At 45.1% G+C, this 13,653-nt stretch overlaps 1 long non-coding RNA gene across 1 annotated transcript in view, besides 4 other annotated features; it reads left to right on the top strand.

Moving 5' to 3' along the window:
* The window catches only part of LINC02463 (long intergenic non-protein coding RNA 2463), an 80,288-nt gene that overhangs the window by 13,090 nt on the left and 53,545 nt on the right, over positions 1 to 13,653 (top strand). Inside the window, exon 2 of the long non-coding RNA XR_001749337.2 lies at positions 7,749 to 8,109. This is a non-coding gene — a long non-coding RNA (long intergenic non-protein coding RNA 2463). The remainder of the gene's footprint in view (positions 1 to 7,748; positions 8,110 to 13,653) is intronic.
* Positions 1,335 to 1,863: an enhancer, noted in NCBI's record as "H3K27ac-H3K4me1 hESC enhancer chr12:116309123-116309651 (GRCh37/hg19 assembly coordinates)". NCBI's record gives its function as "activates a minimal SCP1, AML or CMV promoter by ChIP-STARR-seq in naive H9 embryonic stem cells {active_cell/tissue: H9 hESC(naive)}" and the evidence as "EXISTENCE:reporter gene assay evidence [ECO:0000049][PMID:30033119]".
* Positions 1,864 to 2,394: an enhancer, noted in NCBI's record as "H3K27ac-H3K4me1 hESC enhancer chr12:116308592-116309122 (GRCh37/hg19 assembly coordinates)". NCBI's record gives its function as "activates a minimal SCP1, AML or CMV promoter by ChIP-STARR-seq in naive H9 embryonic stem cells {active_cell/tissue: H9 hESC(naive)}" and the evidence as "EXISTENCE:reporter gene assay evidence [ECO:0000049][PMID:30033119]".
* Positions 3,199 to 3,699: an enhancer, noted in NCBI's record as "H3K4me1 hESC enhancer chr12:116307287-116307787 (GRCh37/hg19 assembly coordinates)". NCBI's record gives its function as "activates a minimal SCP1, AML or CMV promoter by ChIP-STARR-seq in primed H9 embryonic stem cells {active_cell/tissue: H9 hESC(primed)}" and the evidence as "EXISTENCE:reporter gene assay evidence [ECO:0000049][PMID:30033119]".
* Positions 3,700 to 4,200: an enhancer, noted in NCBI's record as "H3K4me1 hESC enhancer chr12:116306786-116307286 (GRCh37/hg19 assembly coordinates)". NCBI's record gives its function as "activates a minimal SCP1, AML or CMV promoter by ChIP-STARR-seq in primed H9 embryonic stem cells {active_cell/tissue: H9 hESC(primed)}" and the evidence as "EXISTENCE:reporter gene assay evidence [ECO:0000049][PMID:30033119]".

Genomic DNA, 13,653 nt, shown 5'->3' with positions numbered 1-13,653 from the left:
AACCTTCAGGTGGTGAGTCATCCATCCATCCTCTAAGTCCATCACAATATAACCGGTTCAGCCTGTCGGGGCACTCTTTCTTCTGAATGGTGCTGGGAAAAACAAACAACAAACACATATATCCTTTCTCTCAAATCTGGGCTTCACCAAGCTCACTGCCCCAACACCTTTATAACTCCCCAATGCTGGGTAACAGCTATTTCTTCCCACCAGAGTGGATTAGGCCAACCTGGATTTGCAGAGACCTGGGTTCAAATTCAGCTCCACCATTGAACTAGCTGGATAACTTTGAGTGAATGATTTAACCTCTTTGAGCCTCATCCATTACATGAGGACAAACATAGGTACTTCTTAGGACTGTTGTGTTAAATAAGGATTCGTGTTGGGTGTTTAGTAGGAATGTCTGGTGCACAAAAGTGAGCTAAATTGTCCCTGCTTGTTAGTTTAAGTCATTACTATCCTATTTGGTTGGAATAAGAGATCATTCTTGTGGATTGTAGTGGGTTCCAGACTATACAGGATTCCTTTTTTTTATTGGCTCAGTTTCCCCAAGGCAGTCTTGGTTTCCTCAAGGTCAAAGTGATTTCAGGCAAGGCTTCCAGTTGAAGACAGGAACCCAAGGGTTATTAGCCACCTTGGGCTGGAGAGAAAGGCCATTTCCTAGAGAGGCTTGTCTCTGACTGCTGGATCACATTCTTTTCCAGGACAAAGTGCACTGTTGGTGCATTTAGAAAACCACCCTTACCCCTGGATGCTCTGTTGGTCTGAATCCCAGTTGATCTGACTTCCTGGGCTCCTGATTCTTGACCTTTTAAATGCCCTGGAGCCAGTCTGTCTGCTGCTAGTGTCCAAAGCTCCACTAATGAGTAAACAAGGCATTCTGATCTAGGAAGGAATTGTCTGATTTACATCAGAAAAGACTTTATCAGCCTCTGTGTGCGTGTCTGCCCCAAATCATGCTGATCATCCTGAAGTTACAGGGGGTAATTAGTTCCTACCTCAAGGATAGATGGAGCTGGAGAAAGATGTAGGGATTATTTTTTTTTTTGTATGTGAAGATGTGGGAAAATAGTGGATGCTGAATGTTGGGATATCAGGACACCTGCTCTCTCGAACGCACCTGCCTGCTTTAGAAGCCACAAAGCAGCAGTTTGCAGCCATTAGAAGTTCAGGCAGTGACTACCATTTTTGCATTACTTGGGGAAACTGCTTCCTGCCTCAGGGATTAGACCCTCCTGGAAAGTGATCACTTGGACTCTTCCTCATTTTGCATAGTGTCTGTAGTAGCCTACTTTGTCCAGCAGGGGCCCAATAAATGCTTGCTAGATCTGAGTACATATGCGTGGAGCCTGTTACAAATGTTAGGCTTGGAGAAGGGTGTTCAGACCTACAGACATCAAAACAGAGGCCAGCTCAGTTTGTTTCACTGTCTCCATCAAACACCTTTAATGCCTTCCAAGGTCAGGGGCCAATTTTCCTTTTCACCTTTCTCCTACTATATCCACCATTTATGCAAGGCTGCATCAACCTGGATGATAAAGACTCATTAGTTGTGGGTTAGAATCCTCTGAATCCAGCTCTCAGAATCCTAGACTAGAGCTTGGAACTGACTCCCAACCTGGAACAATGACAACACATTTCAGAAGCAGATCAAGTTGCTGGTGTCCGGTGGGAGGGGAGATCCACAGGACAGAGCAGTTAAGAACCTGTGCTTAGAAGTCCAGACAACCTAAGTTCCATTTCTGCTTTTTTTTTTTTTCTTTTAGACAGTCTTGCTCTGTCACCCAGGCTGGAGTGCAGTGTCACAATCTTGACTCGCTGCAATCTCTGCCTCCCAGATTCAAGTGACTCTCATGCGTCAGCCTCCCAAGTAGCTTGGATTACCAGCACTTGCCACCATGCCAGGCTAATTTTTGTGTTTTTAGTAGAGACGGGGTTTCACTGTGTTGACCATGCTGGTCTTGAACTCCCAACCTCAGGTGATCTGCCCACTTCGGCCTCCCAAAGTGCTGGGATTATGAGTGTGAGCCACTGTATCTGGCCTAATTTCTGCTTTTATCACTTAATGTTCTCTGAATCTCATTATCATCATCTGGAAAATGAGGATATATTACCTTCCCCCTAGGCTTGTTGGGTGGATTAGATGAGGTTATGTATGTTAAATACCTTGCCAAGTATCTGCCACAAAGTATATACTCAAAAAGCAATTGCTATGATTGCATTATTATTATTTCTGTTGTCATCAATCATTATTAATAATTATTAATTTTCCTAGTGTAATGACAGTAAGGGGAACAAACCACAGGACTCTTCTGTGCTGTGAGGCTCTTCCAGTTCAGTCACTGGATAAAGCTGTGCTGCATAGGGACCAGAAGCAGACGCCAGAAAGAGGGTGCTGACATGAATGGGGCAGAGAGCCTGTTGCTGGGGCTTAGTCTAATTATACCTGGCAGCTCATTGCCCCCCTAGTAGTGCCAGCCCCCAGGAGGACAGATCACATTTCTGTCTCCTGAGTAAGCTGTGTTGTGTCATCTTCAGAGTCCTGAAGTATTCTTCCCGCCCCGCCCCGCCCCACCCCTCCCCCCACCACCACCTCCAACTTGTCTCCATCTGCTGCCTTTTGGCAGCTGGGTGAGCTCTTGGTTCTGCAAGGGGAGGTAAGGGGGGAAGATATTTGGGAGATTATGACTGTGGGTGGATTTGGTAGAGGGGAGGAAGCTGCTGAGCTCTGAAAACAACCTCCTGATTGGAAATAGAAGGATCGGGGTGTTCACCTGTTTGTGGGTCACTTTGACCTCCCAGGTCAGGTCATACATGTGCTTCTCCCGGCTGCTCATGCCAGCAGAAATTAGATACTAGACACACTCCCACCCCATCTCTGGGTTCCAAGCAGAGCTCCATTCCTGTTCACTTGATCCCTTCCAACACATGTGCGTCCCTTCCCTCTCTCTCTCTCTCTCTCTCTCTCTCCCCGAGGCCCTATGTGACCTGGCCCCAGCCTTCCTGTCCAGGCTCATCTCTCACCACTTTTGCCTCAAATGCTGCACTCCAGCCAGATGAGCTATTTAAAGCTACTTTAAGCCCCACTCCCTCTTGCCCCCAGGACCTTGACCTTCTTCACTTGACCTCTTCTCCTCTCTTCCTTCCCATCCTGTGTAGGCTCCCCTTTCTCCCGGAGGTGTTCCTGGTTTTCTTTGCTGTGAGTCCCCACAACTGTCTCCGGGCTTTCTCTGTCCCACGACTCTGCCATTGCCTGTCTACTTGTCTGTGTGCTCCACGCCACTCTGTGATCTGGAAGGGCAGGAACTTTGTGTGGCCTGTTCACTGGGACTCTTATGTTATAGGTGCTCAGTGCATGTTGCTTGTATGTTCTTGCGCAAGCCCTTGTACTTTTACATGCTGAGCATTTGCCATTGCCAGAACTATCACTAGATTACTACTGTTGGTCACAAACTTGAGAATGGGGGGGGCATGGGAGTTTCAGGGTTTGGGGTCCCCAAGCAGCCAGCATTACCCAGCTGATTCCGATAATGAGCTGAGTGTCTCCCATTTTCCCCTCCAGATTCACTGTCCACCCTTCTCCATCCAGCTCCCTGCCGTGGGGTGCTGACCTCTGTCACTTCACAGACCAGTCCCTGAGCCCCTGGCTTTCTGGTGGCCTTGGCCAATGGGAGCCTTGGCGGGAGAGTAGGGTTAGGCATGGACCCCCTAGCTCCCTTGCTGTTGGGGTTGCTGTGTCCCTCAGCTTAAGGTCACAGTCCCTGGTAAGCAGCCTCTCTGCAGACAGCCTCCTCCGGAGGGAACTGCTCCCTGCCCTTGCCCCGCAGGCCTTTGGGATGGTAACAGTTCACACTGGCAGCAGCTCTGTGGTGCTTCACTATCCTCTGTGTTTTCCCCACACTCCACCCACAGCTTTGTAAACAGTGCCTCCTTGACATTATCCAGTTTGAGTCTGTTATCTGCTTCCAGTTGGGATGCTGACCTGATCGAACTTTGACACACTTAGAGGGTCCATCTGGCCCCAGCCGATAGCTCTGTCAGGAGATAATTATCTTGGTTATTATTTATGATACCAAAATGATTATAGTAGCGTCCATGTGCCAGTTTCTGTGCTAATTGTTTAATATACATTACCTCCCTCCATTTTTACAATTCTATAAGGTGGTTATTTTTTCATTTCTTAATGTGAGAATGGAACTTAGACTAGCATTTATTGGATGAGGACAGTGGGGCAGGGGAAGGGCTAACCACTTTACAAACTTTCTCTCTTTTATTTTCCACAACAACCGTGGGAGGTGGTGTTGAACCCATTTTACAGATGAATAAACTAAGGCCCAGCAAGGTGACTTTATCTTCCCCAAGGCCACCCACGGAGTAAGTAGTGGAGGTGAGAATTCAAATCCGTGTTGGTCTGACTCAGTGCCTAAGTTCTTAACCACTGGAGTATCAGACCTCACTTCAGGATGACCTCCACGGAGATGCAGGCTGGCTCTCTACCATGTGCATCAACATGCTCGGCGTGAGAGAAGCAACCTGTTGACAGGGAGACTCATGTATCCAGGTTGCTTTGGACATAGGACCCTGCAAGGCTTTCTCTATTCTTTCACTTCCCTTTCCTCCTCCCACCTCCAGGACCAGGGACTGGGTCCAGCTGCTTCCAGCATGAACTGCCCATTGTAGGGGTGGTCTACATGTCATCTTCCAGATGCAGGCACTCATCCTTCTCCACTGGCAGCTGGGAGGTCACAGGTGGTGATGCAGGGCAGGCAAGCCCCAAAACTGGGGCTTAGCTCAGGAGAGTTCTTGGCTTCACCCAGGAAAGAATTCAAGGATGAGCCCGTGGTGTCAGCAACTTTTATTGAGGCAGCAGTGTACAGCAGCAGCAGAGATCCTTGCAGAAGAGGGCTACCTCACAGGCAGTATGCCCACAGTAGCAGCTCAGGGGCAGTTCTGCAGTCATGTTTATGCCCGTTTTTAATTATATGCAATTATATTATATGCAAATTAAGGGGCAGATTATGCAGAAATTTCTAGAAAGAGTGGTCACTTCTGGATTGTCAGGTCAGTTACTTCACGGAAAGGGGTGGTAACTTCTGAGTGTTGCTATGGCAATGGTAAACTGACATGGCACACTAGTGGGCGTGTCTTATGGAAAAGGGCTTCCACCCTGTCTCTGTTTTAGCTAGTCCTCAATTTGGTTCCATGTCTGAGCCCTGCCTCTGGAGTTGAGTCTTGACTTCTACCTCAGTGGGACTTTGCCAGTCCCCAAGGTAGTTGGACGACAGTGTCACCCCAGCATGGAGGTTGGGTTGGAGCAGCCCTGGGGACACTCACCTGCCTTGAGTTCCTGTGAGCCTTGAAAATGTCTGTGCCTCACCAACCTCCTACTACAGGGAGTGTGATTTTACAAGGGCACCAGCTGCTACTCTGACACCCATGGCTTTTTGTTGCCAGGCCTGGCCTCCCACTGTTTGCTCCAAGCCAAAGACTGAGTGAGGAGGGATGTGAAGGCAGGCCCTGTTTCTGGGAGACACGGGACTCCTCCAGCAGTGAGTTTGCTCTGGGACTCCCCAAGGGCCTTGCAGATCTATCTCCGGACTGCACATCAGTCTTGGAGGCCTCTGTCCTACCTCCCCTTCACTCCAGGTTGGACATGCATCTATCTCAGTCTGACGGCTCTGCCAGCTTCTTCCAGCTCCCTTTTCATTTTCCCTCACACAAGCATTTCCCTCTGTACAATCCTTGTAAGTGTGGTCCTGCCTGGCATCTGTTTCTCAGAGGACCTGAACTAACACACACACTAACACAGTGTCCCAGAACCACCGAGGTTTTCAGGACTCCTGGGAGACTGGCAACAGCTAGGCTGGGAGCCAGAGGAACAGGCTTGGGACTCTGATGGGAAATTTGAGTCTTTCCAAGTTCCTACTCATTATTTTTATAGAGATATGAGTTCCCTCCAGATTTCTCTGCATGGCAGGAGTGGTTTGAAAGGGTATTGCAAAGCTACCTAAATTTTCTTTACAGAAGCGAGATGGCATGATGTTGAATGTGGCGCTGCCATCTGCTGGTTAAGGCAACTTTTCTGACCTTCAAATTCCTCATCTGTCAGGTGGAATGGGGATCCCTCCTCCCTCCTCATAGGGCTGCCAGGAGCACTGAATAAGGGCAAGTGTTTGGTGTGCTGTGCGTATTGGTGGTAAATAGGAAGCTCCCAACACACGGTGACAACTTGGAGCCCTGACTCCTTTGCTCACCTTCCTAAAACATCTGTAGATCTCACAGTTATTTTTTTTTCCTGAAGTTAATAAGGGCTTGGCTGGATGGCAAAAGCTTCTGGAATTCCTGCAACCCTTTCAACCCCCCTGAAATGTAGTCACAGGTTTGAGAGCGCTTGGGTTCAAATGCTCATTCTGCAGCTGCTGCTTCGTGGAATGCTGAGCAAGTTACATATTATCTCGTGCATCATCTTATTCATCTGTAAAGTTGGGGTTTATGATAATATATAGTATTTAACTCATAAGGTTGTTGGAGTATCCAAGAGGCAGTGAATACAAAGGGCTTAGCCCAGTGCCTGGCATAGTAAGGGCTCAATAAGGAACAGTAGCTTTTAGAATTCTTATTGCTGGTCCAACAATGATAGACTGGATTAAGAAAATGTGGCACATATACACCATGGAATACTATGCAGCCATAAAAAATGATGAGTTCGTGTCCTTTGTAGGGACATGGATGAAGCTGGAAACCATCATTCTCAGCAAACTATTGCAAGGACAAAAAACCAAACACCACATGTTCTCACTCATAGGTGGTGGGAATTGAACAATGAGAACACATGGACACAGGAAGGGGAACATCATACACCGGGGCCTGTTGTGGGGTGGGGGGAGCGGGGAGGGATAGCATTAGGAGATACACCTAATGTTAAATGATGAGTTAATGGGTGCAGCACACCAACATGGCACATATATACGTATGTAACAAACCTGCACATTGTGCACATGTACTCTAAAACTTAAAGTATAATAAAAAAAATTCTTATTGCTGGTATTGTTGTTGGTATTCATTATCCTCTGAACTTGATGAAACTCTGATTTCCTGAGCAGGGCTATCTGAGTCTGTGGACCCCGAGAGCAGAATGTGTGGGTTGCCATCTTGGCTGATCTCGGGCAAGTTTACCTAGGTTCAGCTCAATCTCCCAGTCGGTCTCTGCTTTCATTTCCTTAGCTGATAAACAGGGGTAAACCATGCTTTGCTCCAGTCTTCTCATTTGAGGGCTTTGTTCTTTGCCTCACCCTTTTTATCTGTAAAATGGTAATACCTGTTCATTTCAGGCACTGAAGGATGCCTGTTCATCAGTGAGAAGCTCTGAAAAAATTCATAAGTAATGTGGGGTCAGGAGCAGGTAGGGCTAGAGAAAATGGATCAGCCCTTTACAAATATAAAGTGCTAAATAATAAATGGCTTTTATCCATTTGCTTAAATAACTCCTCTTATTGACATGGCTTAATGAGTCCCTCGATCCCCAAATGATTCAAGATATATGTCCTCAATTTCATCTCTTGAAAAATTTCTTCATGGTTCAAAACAAGCAAAAGTCTTTGGGTCTAATTTTGAGAACTTACCTGACTGCTATTCATTTTAAGAGATCTGGTAATTGTTTTGTGTTTTTAAAAATTTTGAACTAAAGCTCTCATTATTCTGATTTATTTTTGTTAGCTATTAACCTAAGTGTTTCCTGATTTGCATAGAAAGAAAAAGAATGGATTTTCCAGTCTCTTTGACCCCTGAGATCTCAAAGCCCCTGTGAAGATCGATCAGTTGGCATGGCTGGATTCAGACTTCCCAGGCCAAGAGGACTTGAAGAAATGATCAGATGAATCTCAGAAACTCAGAGTTTGAATAATAGTTGTCGGTTATTGCACACTTGCTGTGTGCCAGGCATGGTGCTCACTGCTGCCCATGGATCATTTCACCTAATTTCATCTACCAGCCTGATATCTGCACATGTGAGAACCTGAGACGTAGGGAGTTTGCACGGCTTTAGCTTTCGCAGAAGGAGTAACACAGGGTCATACCAACTTACTCCAGTTACCAATTCTGTGACCTCAGGTAGGTGAATTTCTATCCCCGATCATCCTCTTGTTAAAATGGGACTAGGTAACCTCAAACTTTTGTCATGGTGATTGAACAGCTGAGTGTGGTGTTTAATGCATGATCCGTGCTTAGTCAATTCTTATTTTTATTACGGTCCAAGTTCACTGGTCTTGGGCGTGGTGGCATATTGGGAAGTTGACCCAGACCTGGTTCTGAAGCTTGTGCTTCTAGATCATCGTCCTGATCCTATCCAGCTTCAGTTAGGCTTTTCTGCCTCCGAGCACCCTGTTAAGTTTCATAGCACTTAGTAGAGTGCTAGTTTATAGCATTGTGTTTGTCTATGTGATTCTTCATCTGCCTTGCTAGACTGTTTGCTCTGTGAGTGTAGGAACCATGTCTGCTTTGCCCAATACATATCCACTGACTGGAAAGATTATGCCAAGTTTCTCTCATGTTTCACTGTGGGTGCTTTGAATTGGGAAAATATCCTTTCCCATCAGAGTAATTCAGTGAGACTTATTCATGCCAATTAGACGAGAAGCTTGGAATCTGACTGTTCACCCGTTGGAATTATTTCAGAACATCTCTACAGATACTGCTTTCACTTTCACAAGTTTTAAAAATGTATCCTGGTATCAGGCCAACACATATAAGGTTTATCAGTTTCCCTTCAAGAAATGAATAGTGTTGCGTTGTTATTATTTTTGCCTCAGGTTCTTTTCTTCTGTTTTTCTTTTTTTTTTTTTTTTTGATTACCTTTTCTGATCACTGAAGTTGTGTGCATGTTGGGATTGAAGAGTTGGGCAGACTGTTCATTGCCTGCCTTATATCCATTGCCCTTTCCCCTTTGTAAGAGGATCCAGGTTTTGTTCAGAGCAGCACTGAGCCCAGACCCAGGCTATGGATTATAATCGGTCAAAGTTCTGTTATCTAATTTCCAAGCTTTCCTTGCATCTGAGATGGTATATGACCCAGCTCTGTCCAAAAGGTCTGTTGCAAAATGTTCTGGGAAAAAAAAATTTATTGTCCTGGAAAAAGGGACAGATGCAGCACTTTCCCCTTCCATTTTTTTCCTGTCTTGAATTTGGATGTGATGGCTGGAACTGCAGCAACTGTTTTGTCAAAATATTGGTCAAGATGTGGCTGAGCTGCCGAACCTGAACATGAAGCTGACCACTTCTGGAATTCTTATTATGTAAGAAAGGACTATTAAATTAAAGCATATAGTGAGGCATTCTTATTACTTGGAGCTGAATGTATTACTAATGGGTAAAATGATGTTTCTAAAGATTTCCCTCAAAGGCAAAATAAAATCCCAATATTCATAGTTTTTTTGTTTTTTTTTTACTCACCCCATCCCCTTTACCCCCAAAGAGTTTAAGACCTTCTATTCTATGTCAGGATAAAAATTGCTACACCCATTTAAAAGACGATAATGCAGAGGATTGAGCAGGGATTTGCTATTCAAAATTTCAAAGCAGAGCCAAGAGCCTTGGTGTACACACTGTGGCTTCCATTCAAAGACTACATGCTGTCTCTCATTGGCTTAACACACCATTCATATTCCTTAGAAGGCTGAAAGGGCCATATTGATGCTGCCAGAACCTCAGACAGTGGTTCCAGGGAGTCTAGAGGGTTGAAACCCAGCACTTAAGGCTCGCATGCTGTTTTTCTGGCTTGGAAATTTATGCCACAGCTTTGAAATTCTGGAATTTGTTGAGCAGTGATTTGTGACTGCACGTTAAGAGGTGCTTATGCGGTAATGTTGCCTGCGTCTTTATGAAGGTGGTGGATGCTGCTCTGAGCCTTCCAAACTGCTAATATTCTGGATATTATCTGTGTCCACACAGCCATCAATGCTCAAGCAGGGACATTAGGCTGATAGAGAATATCATTAAGGCCGAGAAGGTAGGAAGGAAGACTTACCAGGAAATGTCAGGATATTTTCTTCCCCAAAGGAAACCACCAAAGTCATCAATTCCAAATGTTGAACGCAGTGAAACTTTCCCTAACAAAGAGGCTGATTTACCTTCAGCCTTTCAAGCGTGACTCCTTTATGCATTTCCCACATCTTTTCACTCTGTCAAAATCCATTTTAACTCGATTTTGTTAGCTAAAAATATCTTGGTCCAAAATGTAACCCCATCATCATAAGACACTTTATTTTCAGATTTGTGATTTCCCTTTGTTTTTTTTTTCAAAGGCTTTATTTGCTTTTTTTTTTTTCCATGAAGATGATTCTTACACTGCTCTTTCCCCAAGCACGTTTGGCCATTCCACTTCTCTTTTGTACTGTTTCCAGACGTTTCCTTTCCTTTATAGTCATGACAAAATATAATAGCTAATTCTTATATAGTCTTTGCCATATGCCAGGTGCTGTTGTAATTGATTTATAGGTATTAACTCGTATAATCCTCACAATACCCTAAGGCACAAATACCATTATTTATCCTTATTTTACAGAATAGGAAACTGAGGCACAGAAAGGTTAAATAGCTGATCCGAGGACACACGGCAAGTGGCCAGGCCAAGATTCTAACCCACCAATCTGGCTGCAGCTGATTATGCTAATACTGATAGTGACGATAACTGGCATTTTCCAGTACTTAATCCATATCAGACTCTGTGGAGTCTTATATACATATTGCCTCCCTTAATCATCCCATAAGCTTATGAGATATTAAGGATTATGGTCACCATTTTTAGGGCTGAGGAACTTGAAGCTGTGTGACTTTGCTGACCCGGTCGCTTGGTTAGTAAGATGCAGGCACTTTCAATGCCCATTGTACCTGGAATGCCCTCTCTCCTCCACCCTCACTTCTTTGCTCAGCTTCCTTCTGATCAGTGTCCTCTTTCTGGGAACGCTTTCATGGAACCCCCTCCCCAGTCTGATTTAGATGCTCCAGCTCTCATATCCTACAATTGTCAATTTTCTTACCTGTCTCACTCATCAGACCATGAACTCCTTATACAATGTATATTCACGGTAAAACAAGTATTAGAAACACCAGAAATGTCTGTTCAATCCCTCTGTTTCTATTTAAAAGATATTTTAAAAATCAAAGTATAATTTGAATACAGCAAAGCTACCCTTGTTAGTGAACAGTTCTGTGATGAAAGCATGCTGTCTGGTAGACAGTCTGGGTTAGTTTCCCGCAGTTGCTGTTCCTTGTGTCTTCCAGCTCCTGATGGCTTCAGGCATTCCCCGGTTTGTGGCCACATCAGGCCAATCTCCACCTTCCTGTTCACGGGACCTCTTTTCCTATGTGTGTCAAATCCCCCTCTCCTTTCTCTGCAAGGACAGTCTCATTGGGTTTAGGACCATCCTCAATCCAAGTATAATCTCATCTTGATCCTTGCCTTAGTTACACTTGCAAAGTCCCTATTTCCGAATCAGGTCATGTTCACAGACATTAGAGGGTAGGACTTGGACATATCTTTGTGGGGAACACATGAACCCACTAGATAGCTTCACAGTCAAGATATAGAATAATTTTATCACCACCTCCCAGTTCCATTCTGTTTCCCTTTCAATGAAAAAAAGTCAAAATGAAGCCATATCTGTCAACGTAGCCATATCAATCAAAATCTACCAATGTAGATATTGGTAAAATATATGTAACATAAAACTTACCATTTTAAGTGTACAATTCAGTGGCATTAAGTACATTTTTGATGTTATGTATCCATCACCACTTACTGTTTTATAACCTGCCTCACCCATGTAATCATGGATTATATGCACTTTTTACATGTCAATAAATTCAGATCAAAGTGCTCCATTATTTAAAATAAATGTATATTTTAGATGTGAGTTTCTTAAAGGACCAGCACTTATTACACTAGAGTCTTACCCTCAGGGCCTAGCCTAATGCCTAGCATGTCGCAGGTGCCCGATAAATGTTTATTGAGTGAATAAATGAAGGAATGACTTTCTGGTGAGATACAATGATGCTGCCTGTGCCCACAGCAGGCCTGGGCTCTTAGAGTTTCCAAGGCTTTTGCCCTTTTTAGGTGTGATTTGCATTATCCAGTCCTCCATTTTTCCAAGATAGGTTGCTGTCTTTGCCTTCTCTGAAAACCTCCAGTGACTTTGAAGCAACTGCCTGGAGGGTCAGAGGTGTGTTTCTCCCAACTTGGGACTCTTCCCCGCTAAGGGTTTTCATTTCAGAGGGGTCTAAGCCAACTCTTTCCAGGTTTTATAAGCTGATAGAACAGGGCTGTCAAATGCTTTTTATGGGAGAAGAAACAGGAAGATGGTTTGTTTTGCAGACAGCAGGTTATTGGGTAATTACATTTTTATAGAGCTGCTGTGGGACAAGTCACGGACCTGCTGTCTCCTTTGATGCTAAAAGGCAGACGGCCCCATAAAGATCAGAACAAGGGAAGGTGAAAGGGGTCAGGGACAGAGCTGCCCCTTGGGGGTCAGCTTCTGCCTGGAAGCATCCCCCTGCCCCCCACCACCAGGTGCCCCTTTGGGAAATGCCCTCCTTCCCTTGCCACATGTTTTGGTTAGAGTCACATTCATGCCAGCCTCTTCTATCTGTTTCTCTGCATACAGAGAAAAGGAGAGACCGAAAAAAGGCATTAACTAATAGGACCACCCTCAAGGAAGCCATTGTCATTCACTTATTCATTCGCTCTTTTACTTCCCCCTTCACTCATGCAGTCACTATGTTACTCATTCACTCATTCATTCAATAACTCACTCATTCACTCACCCGCTCATTTATTCATTTGCTCATTCATTCACTTGCTCATTTATTCATCCCTCATTCATGCATACATTCAAGTGTTTGGACACTTAACTAGGAGACTGAAGTATACTGATATATTTTTCCCAAAGGTCAATTTGTTCATTAATTCAACACATCTTCATTGAGGGACTACCATGTGTCATGCATTGTGGCTATAGTGTTAGGTACAACTGAAGCAGTGGAGAAGAGATGCAATAAACTATTGCATCCATATAAAGTGTGCAGTGCCAGCCATGATAAGCACTGAGCAATACACAATTTGGCGCTGTGGGGGTGGTGGGTATGCGAGAGCCCATATGTAGCAGCTCAGCTGGTTGCTTATGAGTGATCAGAGGCCGGGCGCTGTGGCTCACCCCTGTAATCCCAGCACTTTGGGAGGCCAAGGTGGGCGGATCACGAGGTCAGGAGATCGAGACCATCCTGGCTAACACGGTGAAACCCCGTCTCTACTAAAAAAATACAAAAAAATTAGCTGGGCGTGGTGGCGGGCGCCTGTATTCCCAGCTACTCGGGAGGGTGCGGCAGGAGAATGGTGTGAACCCGGGAGGCGGAGCTTGCAGTGAGCCGAGATTGCCCCACTGCACTCCAGCCTGGGCGACAGAGTGAGACTCCGTCTCAGGAAAAAAAAAAAAGTGATCAGAGAAGGCTTCCCTGGTTCAGCTGAAATCTGAAAGATGGAGAAGAAGTTGCCCAGGCCAAGGGATGCAAGGGATGGTGGAGGTGGTGGAGCATGTGGTAGGGAGAGAACATTCCAGGCAAAGAGAGAAAATCCTGCACAGCGTCTGTGGAAGGAGAAAGTACG

The sequence above is a fragment of the Homo sapiens genome, chromosome 12 (genome assembly GCF_000001405.40).
Source record: "Homo sapiens chromosome 12, GRCh38.p14 Primary Assembly".
NCBI classification, from domain to species: Eukaryota; Metazoa; Chordata; class Mammalia; order Primates; family Hominidae; genus Homo; species Homo sapiens.
The sequence above is the reverse complement of the archived record's forward strand: the minus strand, read 5'-3'. Positions and strand labels throughout refer to the sequence as shown.